Below are 19012 nucleotides of genomic sequence, written 5' to 3' on the forward strand. Positions count from 1 at the left end.
AATAAAATATTAAACCTAAAATGTTGATTTTAGTAAAATATTAATATTTATTACTAAAATTTCATAAATATCCTATAACTAGTAAATAAAAACATTAAATATTAAACCTTAGCGCTTTGAAGTTTTTAATAATAAAAGTTGAAGTAAAATAAAAATGTGTCTCTCAAAACCTTTTTTATGAGTCTAAAGAAGACTTTGTCATGTAGGGAGATCTCCTTACAACAAAGTCCAAGAGTCTGTGTATATACATTTGTTGATCTAGAATTTTACCTCATATTAAAAAACAACAGTAATACTATCAGCTTAACATAAGCAGATCTTTTTTTTATTGTCATGGGATTTGAACTGTATATGACATCTTTGACTTTTTTTTGGTGTCTTCTATTTTTTTTTTTTAATCTCTCTCTTGACTTTATTTGGTCTTTTCTATCAAAAGCCATAGGAGCTCACTTTCTCATGAAACTGGGTAACTATAAAAGTCTTACAAAACTGACATTGTGGCAATTTATGGTTAAAGAACTTCTCATCTTCTCCTGTCCCTGCTCCTGCTTGCCTTACTCTCTCTTTTCTGTCCTTTGCTTTAGGATCTGACCGCACTGGCCAAAGAGCTTCGAGCAGTGGAAGATGTACGGCCACCTCACAAAGTAACGGACTACTCCTCATCCAGTGAGGAGTCGGGGACGACGGATGAGGAGGACGACGATGTGGAGCAGGAAGGGGCTGACGAGTCCACCTCAGGACCAGAGGACACCAGAGCAGCGTCAGTCCCCGGTCTCTTTTAGAGCGGATGAGAGTATTCTCTCAGAGCCTGCTTTCCACTGGGACCTAGTTGTTCCTAGACTATTCCGTGACCCCATGAGCACTTACTATGTAGTTCTCGTGGATTCAGCAGCAGGTCGCCTTGTGTTTCCCCTTCTCTTCGTTGGTGTGTGCATATGTCAGTGCTTCCCCCAGCACCCCAGCGTGTACTTTATTTTTTCCTTTTGATTTGAGGATATATGATCCAGGGGAAATTTCAGTTTGGTATAACTACTTTAATTAGCCATAATTATTCATTCTAAGTTTTTGCTCAGAAACAAATGGCACTGGAAAGAAATTCTTTGTTAAAGGGAGAAAGCTAAGCAGTTGCTTTTTTGGAGGAGGCTTTATATCGGTAGCCTCATCTCATGTTTTGATTTTGAGAAGGCGAAAAGCCTAAACAGGATCTCCTTGACTCCAGAGATTAAGGCCTTTCACGTCTGGATTTTTTCTCCATAGGTCATCTCTGAATTTGAGCAATGGTGAAACGGAATCTGTGAAAACCATGATTGTCCATGATGATGTAGAAAGTGAGCCGGCCATGACCCCATCCAAGGAGGGCACTCTAATCGTCCGCCAGGTACCCGTGTCTTCTCTGTTGTCAGAGGCTGAGCTTCTCCTGTGGTCATTAACCCACTTGCTCATTCACTCACTCATGCTGTTTCTCCATCATCATCTGTTTTCATGTTAACAAGTCCCAGAGGGTCAAGTGTCGAGTGTCGGGGGCTAGGGAGGCAGGTGTGTACTGCATGCCCAGAAGGTAGCGAGTAGTCTCCACCCCACATCGCTGCTCCTCTGCATGTCTGCGGCAGCCCTCATTCAAGCACCGCGCTGAGTCTCACAGTCTATGTCTGAGCGGGAGAGAAGCCACAGGGAGTCCTTAAACAGGCTCACAGAGTGAGGAAGCAGGTCTGGAGTCTGGCAGAGCAGCCACCATGGCTCTGCAGAGCACGCTGGGCTCTGAGTGTCTGCAGTGCCACAGTGGGAGCGGGTGAGGCAGGCAGGACGAGCCTCATCACAGGCCCAGAGACTCGGAGAGCAGAAGGGTTCGGGAGGTTTCTCTTCTATGTTCCAAAATGTTAGTTTTCTCACTTGTTGAATAATTAAATGTGTGCCACCCAGATATGCTCAGTTTGGATCACTAAGCTTTATAACTGTCTGTTCATTTCTTAGCTTAGACTTAATTAAAGTGATACGCTTCTCATTTAAATAGAACAGGGCACCTATTTAGTATTTTGGACTTTGCCCTAAGTGTGTTTCATGCTATGGCAATGCATTCGGATGGAAAGTAGGAAGAATGTGGAAAAGACCAGGATTCAGAGAATCCACAGGTACTTTCTGGAGCTTTGCAAAGAAAGATTTAAAAAGAAAAAAAAAAGGATACTGGTTTTGGTAACAGAAGCTAGCGCAACAGATAAACCAGATTAAACACTCACTGCTCGAGCCGTGCAGCCACCAGATTAGGTACTTTGAATTCTGTTGGCACAAGTTAGGCATTTGGTGAGGAAGTGTGAGCAGTTCAGGCTAATTTCTTTGGTTTTTCCTTGGTAATTTAGCAGAGTTTATAAGTCACACAGCACCTTAAAGCAGTTATCAATAGGGCCATAGGCAATTTTAGCAGCGCTTGAGCGAGACAAGTGTGCCTGTTTTTTCTACAGAGTACAGTTGACCAAAAGCGTGCCAGCCATCATGAGAGCAATGGCTTTGCCGGTCGCATTCACCTCTTGCCAGATCTCTTACAGCAAAGCCATTCCTCCTCCACTTCCTCCACCTCCTCCTCCCCATCCTCCAGCCAGCCGACACCCACCATGTCCCCACAGACACCCCAGGACAAGCTCACTGCTAATGAGGTATGTCTCGCACCACAGCTGGCTGCTTTCCTGGGGTTAGACCAGCACTGCCTAGGAGTTAGTTTGCAAAGGAGACCTTTCCAACACCCTCACCCCTTCCCTTCCCACCCTGCTTTCTCTGTCACCTACCCTTCTCCCCAACCCCAAGTAACATGTTTCAGATCTGCATATAAACCCCTTAACCCTAGATCAGCTCCCCCAAACTTGCCAGTTCACTGTTTACTGTTCTGTAGATAAGTATAGTTGCATGGCTTTATCTAGTTTATTTTTTAAAAATCTAAATAAAATGATTGCTCTGTCCTCAGACCGGTATTATGTATTTGGCATGAAATTCTTATAGTCATTTGTGGAATCTGCCTTTTTCATTCTTTTTATCCAATAAATAAAATATAGGAAGATTCGGTTCAGCAGGCTTGGCCTTATCTGGACAAACTTATTATCCTGTACAGGAATCTCTTTCAAACAGAACTGATTTTTTTTTTTTTTCTTGTTTGGGGGGTGGGTTGTTGGCTGATTACTCTTACTTGTTTTCACCAACCCTGTTAAGGAGTTTGTTCTTTGACATTTACAATCACTCAGAGGTTTAGAAGCCAAATTATTTTTGGGAAACCTAGAAAAAATTAGGATGTTAAGCAAGAAGGACAAAGGTTTGAGCTTGTTTTTAATTTAAAATTTTGTGTGGGAAATCTGTGTGCTCCTTTGAAGGCTTGGTTGTGGTGCTCGGTCTGGGTGTTAGCTCAGTCTGGGTGATTCTTTGCTCTTTGAACAGGGTTATACTCCAGGTGTAGTGACATAGCCCACTTGAGCACCCGTATTGAATTAAACAAGTGATTTGATTCCACAGAAGATTTGGTTTAAGTGTCTTTATCTACCAGTTGAGGGAGGTTAGAAAGAATCAGAAAAATCCTCTCCTCCGGAGGAGCAGTGGCAAGTCAACTGCTTCCTAGACAGGCTTGGCATCGGCTAGACTGGCTCCTGACTCATGGGACAGGGAGGGAAGCTGCCAGGGGACAGATGTTCAGGTGGGAAGCTTAGGGGAGGGCATGGGCTCTAGGACATGGTGACCCTCAGGTGTCCATGGAGGGGGTCCAATGGTACAGGACAAAAGCACTTGATCAGACATGTTCCTTTTTTCTCCTGAGGTATATATCCCACCTACACTCACATTCTTCCTTATATTTATATTTTAAACTTTGCTCCATTTCGCTCTAATGTGCAGTATTTTACTATAACCCTTAACTCACTAAACCGGCAAATTTATTTTTCTGTTTGTTTTGTTTTTAATTGTCATTACATTTCCACTTAACAATTTGTTTCACTTCCTTTGTGTTTTTTTGTCTTAAGTTACATTATTAACCAAAACACTAGTGCTCCTAAAAGATCAAAAAGATACGCCTTCTTTTGTCATTTGCACCTTTCACTAATGAGTCCTCATTTGGTATGGGTTTAATGGTGATGCACCTAAAACAACAGTAGCCAAAGCTTCTGTAGCTTTCTGGCAAGAGGCTCAATTTAAAATAACTACAATTATTAACAATTGCCAATATTCCAGCATAGATTATTTGGACTCTTGGGTAGGAGAATAAATTCAGAAGTTGGTGAATTGAGATCAAGACATTTCAGACCTCCTTTAGGAGTTTCATTATAAGTATTTACTTAATTTTTTTTTAAAGCTAGGCACATGAAGTCTAGATTTCATTGGTAGCTTGCAGCACTGCTTTGTAAGTGAGCAATGTCTCTGGTAGAGATACGGCTCCTGCAGTGGTTCCAGGTAAAGCTGCCCTGAGGGGTGCTATGCCACGTGGAAGCTCCCCGCAGAGCATTTTTTGGGGGAATGATGCAAGGCAAATAGAGCAAAGTATTGGGAAATAGTGCAATATAGAAGTGAATTGAAATGTGTATTTTTAATGTTCATTTTTAAAATGCCAGTTGTATTAATAACATTGAAATTTACATTGCAGACTCAGTCCGCTAGTAGCACACTCCAGAAACACAAATCTTCCTCCTCCTTTACACCTTTTATAGACCCCAGATTACTACAGATTTCTCCATCTAGCGGAACAACAGTGACATCTGTGGGTAAGTACAGTAGCAACAAGAAAGCAGCTGACAAATGGGACTTTATCTTTGAGTTGCTCTTTTGGGTGGCTTAGGTGTAGCTGGTTGTTCACAGGCACAGACCTCGGGTACAGAAACTTCCCATCCCAGTTGTATGCCTTATTTGCAATGAGATGCAGAGTCCATTTCCTTTTTCCATATACATTGCTTACAGATTTCTTCTCTTTGACAAAGTGTTGGTTATACCACATGAATATTTACTTGAAGTATACTGGGGAAGGGAGGCAGGCATAGTGTGTGTGTGTACAGAAAATAATTTCAAATATATTGTGTTTCAGTGGGATTTTCCTGTGATGGGATGAGACCAGAAGCCATAAGGCAAGATCCTACCCGGAAAGGCTCAGTGGTCAATGTGAATCCTACCAACACTAGGCCACAGAGTGACACCCCGGAGATTCGTAAATACAAGAAGAGGTTTAACTCTGAGATTCTGTGTGCTGCCTTATGGGGTAGGTGTCTAGCCACTACTCCAACACTTTCATTTTTGTTCTGAGTGGTGGCTGGTCTTCTAGAGAAGTACTGCATTGAATAGTTTGTGGATAGACAGGATGGAAGACTTCTATGATGTCCATCTCCTGTTATATGCAGAGTGGTATATTAGCAGACTGGTGTGGCACATGTATATGATTGCACTCATTTTAACTGTCAAATATTGGCATGATTAATCTCCATTTTATTTTTATTAAACAAATTTTTGTAGTAGTTTTGTTACGTGGATATATTGTATAGTGGTGAAGTCTGGGTTTTTAGTGTAACCATCAGCCCATTATACTCAATAGTGTACATTGTACCCCTGAACCCTGAGGTTGACTGTTCTCACTATAAAATTCAATCATATCTAGCAGTGGAAATGTTGGAGAAGTATATTTATAAAAACTTACTGCAACATGCAACCCAGTGTTTTTCATTTTTCATGCTTGTAATTTCCAAGTACTTTACAGTGACTATTCTTTTGACTATTAGCATTCAGTACTTTATAAAATTATACAACTGTACAATTATACAACTTGGAAATATATCATGGAGAAGTAGAAGATAGAGTGTAAGTGCCACAATACCTGCAGCTTTTGTGTTTTGAAAAGAGTCTTCAGCTTTATCTTGTTACTCCCTCATTCTTTCTCACTGTAAAATCTTGAGGTTGATGTTTATATGTTAGTTTTTAGAAACACACATAATAGGATTTCTTCACAAGGCCCATATTTTGTGTAGTTATTACCAGATTCTTGACATAGGAGTTTAAAAAAATCTACTTGATACTGAAGATTGACCAGGAAAATATCAAAATATTGTGTAAAATAGAACCTTTGAAATGGTATCTGTCTGGCAGCAGTTCTATCAATAAATATCTGTCTTTTCTACCAATAATTTCTAAGCTGTTTTAGATCAACTTGCCTAGATATATGCAGGGAAACCTAAGCATAATATTCAAATAAGTTCCACCTTGACAAGGATATAGTCAGGGCAGAATGGCCAACCTCAAGAATAAAATTATATGAAAATGAATCACATATTACATATTTAAATATTTTTCTTATACTGATAATCTTTTTAGTTGTACAGCATTTTTTTTTTTTTAATCTCTAAGGGTTAAGTCACTATGCCCACAAGCATTGCTTGGGTAGATACTGTCCTCCAAATGTTGGGATAATCCCAACTCAATCAACTCTATAAGGACCAGGCATGAACAGAGAGAGGGCTGTAGGAGCGTTGTTCTCTCAATGCCGTCACAATTATTTATTTCAGATTATCTGGAAATAGGGTGTGGGTGGGTGTGGGCATACATGTATGTGCCATGATATTCTTCCGCCTCACTCCCTCTACACAAATACTTTATTCCTTGTCTTGGTGAGTTTATGACTGAGGAAATCAGTACACACAGATATGTGCCCAATTCCCTAGGAATGTAGGGTCATCTGTGCTACATGTTACAAAGGTGATTCTGACAGTGAAGGTTCTAGGTCAAGGAACAAGAGCATTTGGGGAAATACATGAATGATCAAGAGGGAGAAGTGCTTTGGCCAAGGGGCAGGCAGTCTTAGATGCCAGTCCAAGGCTTTTGGAACAATTTCTACATGGAATGTGTAGTTTTTGAAGATAGTCATGACGTGAGTATTTTAGCAAGATTAGGATTGATTGGATGTACATCATGAGAAAGTGGAGAGAAGCTCCTTTAACAACCTTAATTAAGGTCTCTATCCGTCACTTAAAAGGTTGCCAAAGGCTGAACAATTGTGAGAGCAGAGGAAAGGGAAAGGAGGGACAGAGAAGGGGTTTTCTCTGGCTCTAGTGGCCAGTTTTAGCTAGTTTGGCAGAGCAGCTTGGGAGCTGTTGATAGAAGCAGCCAAGTCGCGAGGCTAGTTTCAGTAGAGATCTGCAGTGGGTGGAAAGCAGGAGGCAAAGTAGCAGCGTGGAATTAGGAGTTACTGGTTCTGAGGCACACTCATGCACAGGTGGGTGGGTGTCACCAGATGGACAGCAGTGGAAATGTCTCCACTGAGGAAGCAGAGGGCAGGTGTGGAAATAAGGAAGGAGGCAGCAGAAGAGTGTGGAGACTGTGACGGTACAAGGTTAGAGAAGTAGGGTGAGTCAAATATCAAATCACAATATTTTGATAGTCCTAAGAAATGGAAGGACAAGAGAACTGACTACAGTTGTTTCTTGATGATGGTGGAAAGTGATCTTTAAGAAAAGCTTAAATGTGAGTGATGGAAGCCGAATCATAAGCTGTTAAGGATTTGAGGGCTGCATTTATATGGCCCATTCCAGAGATTTGCCAATGAAAGATGAGGAAGCACAAAGAGATCATGGTATCAGATGAAGGTTTGTTCAAATGTGTGATGTGGCTAATTAGACATAGAATCTGTAAAGATAGGAAATAATCAGCATATAACATTCTCGAGGAACTGAGGAAGAACTAGAAACTAATGGATTATTAAGGAAATTGATGGGATGAGGGTTTCTTGTTCTTTCCCTTATCCTTTCTTATGTTTAAATATGTCAGCATCATTGCTACATGGTGATGTATTGCAGGATTGGTTACTTTAACTGTTTAACCTTTGACTATTTTAAGGATTTCTGCTTCTGGGTGAATTAAGGAAGCTACACTTTTTTCCAAATAGATGATGTTATCCTTTCTATACAACCTGGGGATTTGCCAAGCACAGCATAAAATTGAGGCCTTTCTGTGTCCCTGAAACAGGAGTGAATTTGCTAGTGGGTACAGAGAGTGGCCTGATGCTGCTGGACAGAAGTGGCCAAGGGAAGGTCTATCCTCTTATCAACCGAAGACGATTTCAACAAATGGACGTACTTGAGGGCTTGAATGTCTTGGTGACAATATCTGGTGAGTGTTTGTTTTGTAAACCAGAATATGTGACACCATCTTAACAATATTGTAGCTTTACACACTAAACTTCAGTTAGCTCATTCACTGATGTACTGGCTAAATAAGGTACAACCACATTGAGACTTGACAATAATGTGAGCTGAAGACGTATTCAGAGGTGACACACACGCCCATTTGATCTCTGGCTCCTCCGAAAGCAGTCTTGAGAAGCGTATGAATGTGCTCTTTCTCACTGGCATCTCTCACTGCCCTCTCTGCCCAGTTGCTTGTTAGATTTCATTTGCCTTGTCCAATATGTAGGTCTGTGTCCACTCCTTTCCACCAGACTTTTTTTTTTTTTTTTTTGAGACGGAGTCTTGCTGTGTCGCCAGGCTGGAGTGCAGTGGCGCGATCTTGGCTCACTGCGAGCTCCGCCTCCCAGGTTCAAGCAATTCTCCTGCCTCAGCCTCCCGAGTAGCTGGGACTACAGGCAAGTGCCACCAAGCCCAGCTAATTTTTGTACTTGCAAAAGGAAGTATTCTTTGCCATTATTGTAAAAGTATTGTATTATGGTTTTTATTATGTGAATTAACACAATTATGTCTCTTTTTTACTTATTTATTTATTTATTTATTTTTTGAGACGGAGTCTCACTCTGTCACCCAGGCTGGAGTGCAATGGCACAATCTCCGCTCACTGCAAGCTCCGTCTCCCAGGTTCACACCATTCTCCTGCCTCAGCCTCCCGAGTAGCTGGGACTACAGGCACTTCCCACCATGCCCGGCTGATTTTTTGTATTTTTAGTAGAGACAGGGTTTCACCATGTTAGCCAGGATGGTCTTGATCTCCTGACCTCATGATCCACCCACCTTGGCCTCCCAGAGTGCTGGGATTATAGGCATGAGCCACTGCGCCCGGCCAATTATGTCTCTTTTTAAGAAGAGCATTTTTCTTAGTATAAATTGTGTAATATAAACTAGTACAGGAAAACAACTACAAGAAATAAAAAGTAGAATCATCCAGAGATCATATCTTTTAACTTTTATAAGTTTTTAAATTCCAGTTTTTTAAGCATACACCACACTCACTGTATACTTAAGGGAAAAAATCTGCATAAAAATGGTTATACAATATTTCAAACATAGGATAATGGCACCCAAGTACTAACTATAACTAGCCAGTTTGAACAGTTGTTGCAGTACACTGTTGTACATACAGTCAGCATCCCTGTTCCTCCCATATCTACCTGTCCATGGCAACCTCTTTCCTGAAGTTAGGGTGTATGCCATCCAGGCCTGATTGTCCAAAACACGTAGTCTGCTTTCTCCATGCCATTGAACATCCTTCCATGGCCTCCATTTTATATGGCTAGAGGATGTTTCCTTGCATAGATGTATTAAAATGTATTTAGTTATCTTCTCTTGCTGCCCTTTAGGTGTATTCCCTTTTTTCTCTCATGTGAACATTTTTCACAGATATCCTTGTAGCTTACTTAACCTTCAGGCACATACCATGTTGCATAGATCATAATTTCCTAATAATTAGTGTTATTCCTTGGTCAGATGGCATGCAAAATTATAAGACTTTAAATGAGTCTTATATACCACTACTTACAGTCACTTATGATATTATAATCACTTATGATACCACCAGTGATTTTTATTTAATTATCTGCTTGTTAGTACAAGCTTGTTATGTAACATATTTGCTTGAAGTTATTTTACTTCTAATATATGCTTTGGTTGTTAAGTAAAGGAGTTTCTTGAAATGCAAAAATTTCACTATTTATACTTAAATGAGGAAACAGCCATTTAAAACTAGAGTGCTGATGGATGGTAGTTTTTTAAGTTGGAGAAAACAAATCTGCATTTAGTGATCCAGTGAAACAAGACAGTTCATGGGGATCAATACTCAGCTGAGACCAGGTGCGGTGGCGTATGCCTGTAATCCCAGCAATCTGAGAGGCCAAGGCAGGAGGATTGCTTTTGCCTGGGATATCGAGGCTGCAGTGAGCTGTGATAGCACCACTGCACTCCAGCCTGGGTGACAGAGTGAGAGCCTGTCTCCAAAAAAAAAAAAAAAAAAAAAAAATTAATAATTATAATCAGCTGATACCAGTAATCATTTTTTGGTCTACTTTTCTGTTTTTTTTTTTTTTCCTTCCTTATTAACTTTCAGTGGTTTTCACAATCATAAATGTAGTACATGTCAATTGTAGGAAGCTTCAAAAATAGAAGAAACTTAGGAAGAATAAAACAAAATGTCACCCCCATCTCAGAGATAACTCTTGTTAACATTTTATATTTCCCTCTCCTTTTCTCTGTAAGTATATCTCACAAGATGGAAACAAAACATTATATATAAAACTGTGTGGTCTTTTTCTTCTCTTAACATATATTGAATATTTTCCTGCAAACAATTCCCCAAAAGTTAAAAGGATTATACTGAAGTATGATATACAGAGAAAGTACAGATAAGCATACAGCTCAATGAGCTGTCACATGCAGAATCCATCCAGATAGCCCCACCCTGGTGAAGACATGGAACATTGCCAGCACCCCAAAACTGCCCTGTGAAGCCACCCTGGGACTGCCCCCAGAGGCAAGCACTGTCCAGACTTTGAACATGTTAGGTTGATTTTGCCTTCATTGAACTGATTTTATATAATGGTAAAACAGTATGTGTTCTAGTGTCAGCTGCTGCTTTTTTTTTTTTTTTTTTAAGTAGACTTTTTCTAAACGTTTTTTCAGTATTTTGCAGTTTAGCCATTCTGAAGGGGTGTAGGAATTAATAGGTGTATCTCATTTTAATTTGCAATTTCCTAATGATGTATGGTACATCTTTTCTTATGTTTGTATATCTTCTGGTGAAGTATTTCTTCTATCTTTAATCCATTTTGTAATTGGATTGTTGCTTGCTTATTGTTGAGTTTTAAGAGTTCTTCGTGTATTTTGGATCTAAGTTTCTGATGAGATATGTGTTTTGCGGATATTTTCTGCCAGTTTGTGGCTTGTTTGTTCATGCTGTGGAATGATGTCTTTTGCAGAAGAGAAGTTTTTATTTTAGTGAAGTCCAACTTACTAGTTTTTTCTTTCATGAATTGTGCTTCTGGTATTGTATCTAAAAAGTCATTGCCAAATCCAGAGTCACTTGGATTTTCTTCTGTTACCTTCTAGAATCTGCTTTACAGCTTTGTGTTTCACATTTAGGTCCACAATCCATTTTGAATTGATATTTGTGAAAGTTTCAAAGTTTGTGTAGATTTATTTTCTTTTGCCTATGGATATCTAGTTGTTGCAGCAGCATTCATTAAAAAGACTAACCTTTCTCCATTGAATTGCTTGTGCTCCTTTGTAGATTACTGCTATATTTGTATAGTTCTATTTTTTTTTTTTTTTGACACGGAGTCTCAATCTGTCATCCAGGCTGGAGTGCAGTGGTGAGATCTCAGCTCACTACAACCTCTGCCTTCCGGGTTCAAGCAATTCTCCTGCCTCAGCCTCCCGAGTAGCTGGGATTATAGGCATGTGCCACCATGCCTGGCTGATTTTTCTATTTTTAGTGGAGACAGGGTTTCACCATGTTGGTCAGGCTGATCTCAAGCTCCTGACCTCATGATCCGCCCATCTCTGCCCCATAAAGTACTGGGATTACAGGCGTGAGCCACCGCGCCTGGTGTATAGTTCTATTTCTGGGCTCTATTTTTTCCCATTTATCTATTTGTCTCTTTTTGTGCTAATAACCACACTGTTTTGATTACTGTAGATTTATAGTAAATCTTGAAGTCAGGTACTGTCAGTCTTTCAACTTTGTTCTTTTTTAATGTTATGTGGACTGTGTTGGGTCTTTTGCCTCTAGAGTCAGCTTATTGATATGTACAAAATAACTTGGGATTTTGATTAGAATTGCATTGACTCTGTGGATCAAGTTGGAAAGTACTGATGTCTTGACAGTATTGACTGTTCTGTCCATTAACATGGAAATCTCTCTCCATTTATTTAGTTCTTCTTTGATTTCATCAGAATTTGTAGTTTTCCTTAAGTAAAACTAGCAAAGGGCTAATTTTATTAGATTTATTATACCCATTTTGTTTTTTTAAGTACTAGTATAAATGGTGTTGTAGTCTTAATTTCAAATTCTAATGATTTGTTGCTGGTATACAGGAAATACAGGAAAGTGACTCACTTTTATTTTATTAGGCTTGTATCCTGCAACCTTGCTATAATTCTTGCTATAATTGCTTATTAGTTCCAGCAGGGTTTTTGGTTGGTTGGTTGGTTTTGGATTTTTTTTGGTTGATTCTTCAGGATTTTCTACCTAGACAGTCATGTCTTCTGTGAAGAAAGACAGTTTTATTTCTTCCTCCCCAGTCCTTGTACCTTTTATTTCCCTTTTTTGTCTAATTGCATTAGCTAGGACACCCAATATAACATTTACTAGGAGTTATGAGAAGGGAAATCCTTCACTTGTTCTCTATCTTATGAGGAAAGCATCTAGTTTCTTGCCATTATGTATGACGTTAGCTGTAAGGTTTTATGGTAGATGTTTCTTGTCAAATTGAGGCAGTTCCCCCTCTATTCCTATTTCCCTGAAAGTTTTTATTATAAGTAGGTATTGGGTTTTGTCAAATGTTTTTCTGCATCTGTTGATATGATCATATGATTTTTCTTCTTAGCTTGTTGATGTGTGTGGCTGACGTTGCCCCCCATCATTTTTGTTGTTGTTGCTTGTAGCTGTAGTCTCTTTGTTCCTTTAGATGACTACACCACAATGTATTTACTCATTTTACTATCCATTCAGACATTATTGTTTCCTGTTTGGAGCTATTAGGAACCATGCTGCTATGAACATTCCTGTTGTTGTACTTGGGGGCATACATATACATTTATATTAGGAGAGAGATTACCAGACCATATGTAAGATATGCACATATCCTACTTTAATAGATAGTGCCAAACTTACAAAAACAGTTCTAACAGTTTACAACACTAGTTTCTGAAGTTTCTAGTTGTTCCACATCTTGCCTACCTTTGATATTGTCAGTCTTTTGAATTCTAGACATACTGATAGGTGTATGAAATCATCTTATTACTGTTTTAACACACGTTATTACTGGTGAGAATGAGCATCTTTTTGTGTGTCTGTGAGATCACTTCTTTTCCAAAGTTCCAGTTATAGTGGCACGTCCAGTTTTTCTATTGTTATCTCCTGTTCTATTTGATTTATAGGAGTTTTTTTACATATTCTGGATTATGACTCCCTTGTCAGCTGTTTCTGTGGTACACATCTCCAACTTGTGACTTGCCTTTCACTAGGTTTAAGTGCTGGCCTTAAGTGATTGATTTCTTTTGGTTACTATTGTTATTAATGATGAGACCTACTTCTGGATATGCATGTAAAATATTTATATTTATTTTGCTAGGCAAAAAGGATAAGTTACGTGTCTACTATTTGTCCTGGTTAAGAAATAAAATACTTCACAATGATCCAGAAGTTGAGAAGAAGCAGGGATGGACAACCGTAGGGGATTTGGAAGGATGTGTACATTATAAAGTTGGTAAGTTCTAGAAGCGTCATATTTTGTTTTTCCAGAGTTTGATTAGAGTTTGAATTTTAAACTTTAAATTTTCACAGGTTTTTTGAAGTTTGTAATAATAAACTTGTTTCTGAAACACGTGGATCATTTCTGGTGTTCTTTCTGTTTCCAAGGCACATTCTAATCTTGAAGTCTCATCTAGACATTGTCTTACTCCCTCTGTGCACCTATATGCATAACAGAGTTCGTCCCTGCAACTCACTCCGCCCTCAGTCTCCCCCACGCTGTGCATCTTGTGAGAGTCTTTCCACTCCTCCTCTTTGACAGTCCACATTCTTCTCCTCTGTAAGATGTGGTTCACAGTAACCTCTTTAAGGAAATCTTGTCAGTGGAAGCCAGCTGACTTGAGTCCTTTTTTACATGCCAGGCTTATTCTCCACTTAGAGGTCTGGAGGTCCTTGGCAGGCACTGATAAGAGTGTTTGAGAGTTTGACTCAAGGGCTTATGGCCTGCCATTTTGAATTAAGTGCCTGTGCACAGCTACTATGCTCCTTACTAGTAAGTGAGCCCAGCTGGCCAGTCAGTGTTTTATGGCAATTGTATTGTTTTTTCTCCTTGGCATGAAGCAGTGATTCTCATGAAGTAAAATCTCACAGGAACAAAACCAAAACTCTTTTTTTTTTTGAGATGGAGTTTTGCTCTTGTTACCCAGGCTGGAGCGCAATGGTGCGATCTCAGCTCACTGCAACCTCCACCTCCCGGGTTCAAGCAATTCTCCTGCCTCAGCCTCCTGAATAGTTGGGATTACAGGCACCTTGCCACCACGCCCAGCTAATCAAAACAATTTTTTTTTAAACATGAAAAAACCAAAATACTGGCACTAATGTTAGACATACGGGAGAAATAATGGACCTTAGCCAAATTAAAGTTTTATAGGAAAGATGTTATAGTCTAACAGAATTTAAACAGGAAGTTTTTCTATATACCTAAAACTGATTAATGTTACGGGCCTATTGAATGTTTGTTTCTGCTTGTGTGTTTTCTTTTTTCTATGTTTATGAAAATATATACATCATCAGTTCCTCTGTTCCGAGGGATGTTGTCATGCTTGGCATTGTCTTGTTGGTGTAGTTTGTCTGCACCCCTCAGCTCGTGGGTTAATGGTGATTGTGGGAGCTGCCTCAGTATCTCTGACAGTTCTAATGATACGGGAAAGTAGAACTATCTGCTTAGGATAGATTTTAGGATTAGGGTTTTCTGTGTTTATGTGAAGTATTTTTATGTGTTGAGGTATAACTAAAATCATCTAAGGCTAAATGTAATGAAACAGCTCATAACAGATGAAATGTACATGAATAGATTATCCTGCAGGGGGAGCAAGAGGCAGACGGGTTAAAAGTCTGTTGGGCTTTTCCCCAGAACAAAACAGTAGGCCTTCAGGCCTGTCACTCATACAGAATGAATCACAAGTATTTTCAGGAGATAAGTGTGGGTAATATCATTCATTCGTTGTCATTATGGTTGCCACCAAGAATAGGGAGCTATTTAAATGTATATTAAATTAATAAAAATTAAGGAAACCTTAAAATTTAGCTCCTCAATGGCACTAGTACATTCTAAGTGTGCAATAGCCCCATGTGTGTGGTGGTTATATTAGCAATACAGATACGGAGAGTTTCTATCATCGCAGAAGTCTATGAAACAGTACCGGTTTTGTCAGACTGTTATAAACCTTTGTGTCTTAATGTTCGTTTATTGATTTATTTAAACAGTGGTAATATATAGAGTTTAACAAGGGGAGTTATCAGTTAACAAGTTCCTGCTCATGCACAAAGAAGAAATCAAGTAGCGGTGTGATGTTAGCTTGTAAAGAAATCATGGATCTGCATTAGTAAGTCACAGGTACTCAAGGACCCCTGGGAGTACTTGTTTTGGCAGAGTTGCCTGGCAGTAAGGGCACCAAAATAGCTATGGGAAGGAGGCAGTTTTACTACTTCTGTAGATCAGGAAATGGTCTTAGTGATACTTGGACTTGTTCACAGATACTTCTGTTGGTAGAATTCAGGACTCATGAATATTTTAGTATAAGCCTTTTTTCTTCCTCAGTCTGTGTGAGCCCCATGCAGGACTAGGGAAAGTTGTAAGGAGGACCTCGGTCTCTGTGTGTTTCAGGAGTCTCTTGGCTGATTAATCATGTTGTTACTCATTTGGAGTAATACTAAGCCCTTGAAGACTTCAGGGTGGTATACCTGGCATTGTCCTTGATTTTAAAATATCTTGGAATCTATTATAAGAAGATTAGGATCATTAGCGAAAGTACTCATTGATGGTCAAAATACATTAAAGAGCTGGAAAAGGAAACTGTGAGGTGTGATCTCTCTCTCTGAATTTTTCCCCTGCTTGTTTGGATGAATGAATAGAAGGCATATTTATAAAGTTTGCAGAAGACAACTAAAACAGTTTAGAGGGCTATGTTGATACTGACCTGTGCTTCTCTTGCTTTTTTATTTGCTGCTTTTCAGTAAAATATGAAAGAATCAAATTTCTGGTGATTGCTTTGAAGAGTTCTGTGGAAGTCTATGCGTGGGCACCAAAGCCATATCACAAATTTATGGCCTTTAAGGTAACAACATCAAGTGAATTTAAAAGTAGTATTGGCCATTCAAGCTGCAACCAAGAGTCAGGGAATATGTTTAAAAAGTCTGAATGTTAAAATTGCTAATATAAAAGCTATGTGCTAATATAGCATATAACTTTATCATAAACCATTTCTAATGTAATAAGCTTAGTTAAGCTGCTTTCTAAGCCCACAGTGAGAAGGAGAGAGAGATAAATGTTGGGTAGACACTTTAATCGATGTGGCAATGTGTTCACAGAGGAAAAGAGAACAGTACTTCCACCCTTCAGTTAAAAAGGTGACCTTCACCTGAGTCATGGAAGCGTGTAAAGATTTAGATGTGTTTTTGATAACAAAACTGTGTCTATCGGGCAGTTTTAAGATATATCTGTTCATAAAATACTAATTAAAAATTAAATTACAGAAATTCTGATGACAACATTATATACTAAGTGAAAAAAGTTAAAATATTTCATATGATTCCATTTTTGTTTCAATAAAAAACTCAGCTATAACATCTGAACTAATGTACAAATTAAGATGTTTTTGCCATTTTGCATGTATACAGTTTTAGGAAAGTAAATGATGGAGTACTTAGTCTTAAAATTAGGACTGTTTTCATTTGTGAGTTCACAAAAATACTCATGAAATTTACAAATATACCTCACATTGCCTGGTGATTGGCTTTTTAGAATAGTTTTTTTATATTTTATTGAAGGGGTAGGTTTCATTTATTTGCAAAATTTGTGTTTTTGGATTGCTTACTGCTTGATTTCCCAGTGAAGCAGGATAGATGGAGTCACAATATTCGCTTAAAAAATAATATTCACTTAAAAAATAAATCCAAGTGTTACTGAATAAAGAGAATTGGTTATACAGTTATATTATCTTCTGAGATCTGGCCTTAATATCCTTTATATACCAGGTACCGTACTAGTTGGTTTTATACATATTACCTTATTTAAAGCTGCTGTTTCATTATCGTAGTCTCGTGAACTGTGGGTAGTGATGTCAGTGAAAAATGGAGACCACCAGCACAATCCAGGCTGTTGTAGCACATACAGCCTTTTCACCATTTTAGTCTAGTCAGAAAATTAGAGACCTTATGCTACTAGTATGATAATAGTGATACAATTTTCAGTGTGTGACTCCTACAACTCCTCTCGCTCTACTGTGCATTTGAATAGTTGAGTAGCATTTTTAGGAAAGTCCTCACTATTTTACTTTGCATGATTTTCTGATCAAGGCAGCCAAAAGCACAGTAAATGACAGAGCAGAAATCTTGATCTGGAAAGGGAGATTTGGAACATATCTTCTGGAAGAAGTGTCTTCTAGATGCTAATTAACAGGCAAAAACGTAATAAAGACTAATTTTGTAGAGTATTGTTGCCTTACGGTTGTTGCCAGTGTGGCTCAGTAATTGCATAACTGAGTATGTTGGGTCTTCTCTAGTTTGATCTATTAGAAGTAAGTTCTCCGGCCGGGCGTGGTGGCTCACGCCTGTAATTCCAGCACTTTGGGAGGTCGAGGTCAGGAGATCAAGACCATCCTGGCTAACATGGTGAAACCCCGTCTCTACTAAAAATACAAAAAATTAGCTGAGTGTGGTGGCGGGCACCTGTAGTCCCAGCTACTCGGGAGGCTGAGGCAGGAGAATGGTGCGAACCTGGGAGGCGGAGCTTGCAGTGAGCCGAGATGGCGCCACTGCACTCCAGCCTGGGTGACAGAGCGAGACTCCGTCTCAAAAAAAAAAAAAAAAAAAATGTTCTCCTTCATCTTCTCACTTCTCTTATGGCTTCTTTGCAGTCATTTGGAGAATTGGTACATAAGCCATTACTGGTGGATCTCACTGTTGAGGAAGGCCAGAGGTTGAAAGTGATCTATGGATCCTGTGCTGGATTCCATGCTGTTGATGTGGATTCAGGATCAGTCTATGACATTTATCTACCAACACATGTAAGAAAGAACCCACACTCTATGGTTGGTTGACTGGCTTCATTTTGTTTTGACTTTCTTCTTTACTCTGCTTAGTGAACTAACACAAGCAGGGATTCATTTCCCCTTGGTGTGGGGGTGAGTATTTAAATGATACGCAATTTTCAATAGCTCCATGCTCTTAGACAAGTGGAAATCCGCCTTCCTGGCTCTGTGGAGCCCTTGTGAAAACCTCTTAGCTCTTGCTTTGACTAACATGGGATGGATTTGGGGCAGTTGCTGCCAGGCCAGAATATCCCTGGGTTGGGAGTGGTTCTCAATTGGAGCCCAGCATCCAATGTTTCATGGGCCTCAGGAGATATGAGTCAGTAGAGTATATTACTGGGAAAAAGCAGAGTTGGGGATATATATTGCATGACTATTCTAAAATGTTAATCTAATTGCTGTATTTATCTTCAGAGATATGGTACCAGTGCATTCACTAAGAGTCTTACTGAGCACTTGCACAGGGCTGGAAATAACCACAGACGTTCTTCCCTGTACTTTGTTCCTGTTCTCTAGATCCAGTGTAGCATCAAACCCCATGCAATCATCATCCTCCCCAATACAGATGGAATGGAGCTTCTGGTGTGCTATGAAGATGAGGGGGTTTATGTAAACACATATGGAAGGATCACCAAGGATGTAGTTCTACAGTGGGGAGAGATGCCTACATCAGTAGGTATGGAGAACTTGGGGAAAGGCAGCATTTGTGAAAATGGAGCCGTGTCTGAGACTCCATTTATTTATCATGCTGATTTTGTATGTCCTTCAGACCTTTTGACTACCATTGA

The 19012-nt window shown here is 39.4% G+C and overlaps 1 protein-coding gene across 55 annotated transcripts in view, besides 1 other annotated feature; it reads left to right on the forward strand.

The window, feature by feature from the left end:
- The window catches only part of MAP4K4 (mitogen-activated protein kinase kinase kinase kinase 4), a 196984-nt gene that overhangs the window by 171331 nt on the left and 6641 nt on the right, over window positions 1–19012 (forward strand). For 28 of the 55 annotated variants that reach the window (NR_169281.1, NR_169282.1, NM_001384506.1 and 25 more), the window contains 9 exons: window positions 585–760; window positions 1258–1378; window positions 4610–4727; window positions 5045–5215; window positions 7966–8109; window positions 13514–13648; window positions 16150–16250; window positions 18051–18200; window positions 18741–18900. Coding sequence is in view for 51 of the 55 variants with exons in the window: in NM_001384506.1 (NP_001371435.1) it covers window positions 585–760; window positions 1258–1378; window positions 4610–4727; window positions 5045–5215; window positions 7966–8109; window positions 13514–13648; window positions 16150–16250; window positions 18051–18200; window positions 18741–18900 (1276 nt within the window). In the remaining 4 variants the exon portion in view is untranslated. Of the gene's footprint in view, window positions 1–584; window positions 761–1257; window positions 1379–2456; window positions 2649–4609; window positions 4728–5044; window positions 5216–7965; window positions 8110–13513; window positions 13649–16149; window positions 16251–18050; window positions 18225–18740; window positions 18901–19012 lie in introns of all 55 variants that reach the window. The other 27 variants (NR_169280.1, NM_001395002.1, NM_001384497.1 and 24 more) reach the window with 3 other exon arrangements.
- Window positions 590–884: a silencer, noted in NCBI's record as "tiled region #3767; K562 Repressive non-DNase unmatched - State 17:Gen3'". NCBI's record gives its function as "represses a minimal TATA promoter and a strong SV40 promoter by Sharpr-MPRA in K562 cells {active_cell/tissue: K562}" and the evidence as "EXISTENCE:reporter gene assay evidence [ECO:0000049][PMID:27701403]".

This window comes from Homo sapiens, chromosome 2 (genome assembly GCF_000001405.40).
Source record: "Homo sapiens chromosome 2, GRCh38.p14 Primary Assembly".
Lineage (NCBI taxonomy): Eukaryota > Metazoa > Chordata > Mammalia > Primates > Hominidae > Homo > Homo sapiens.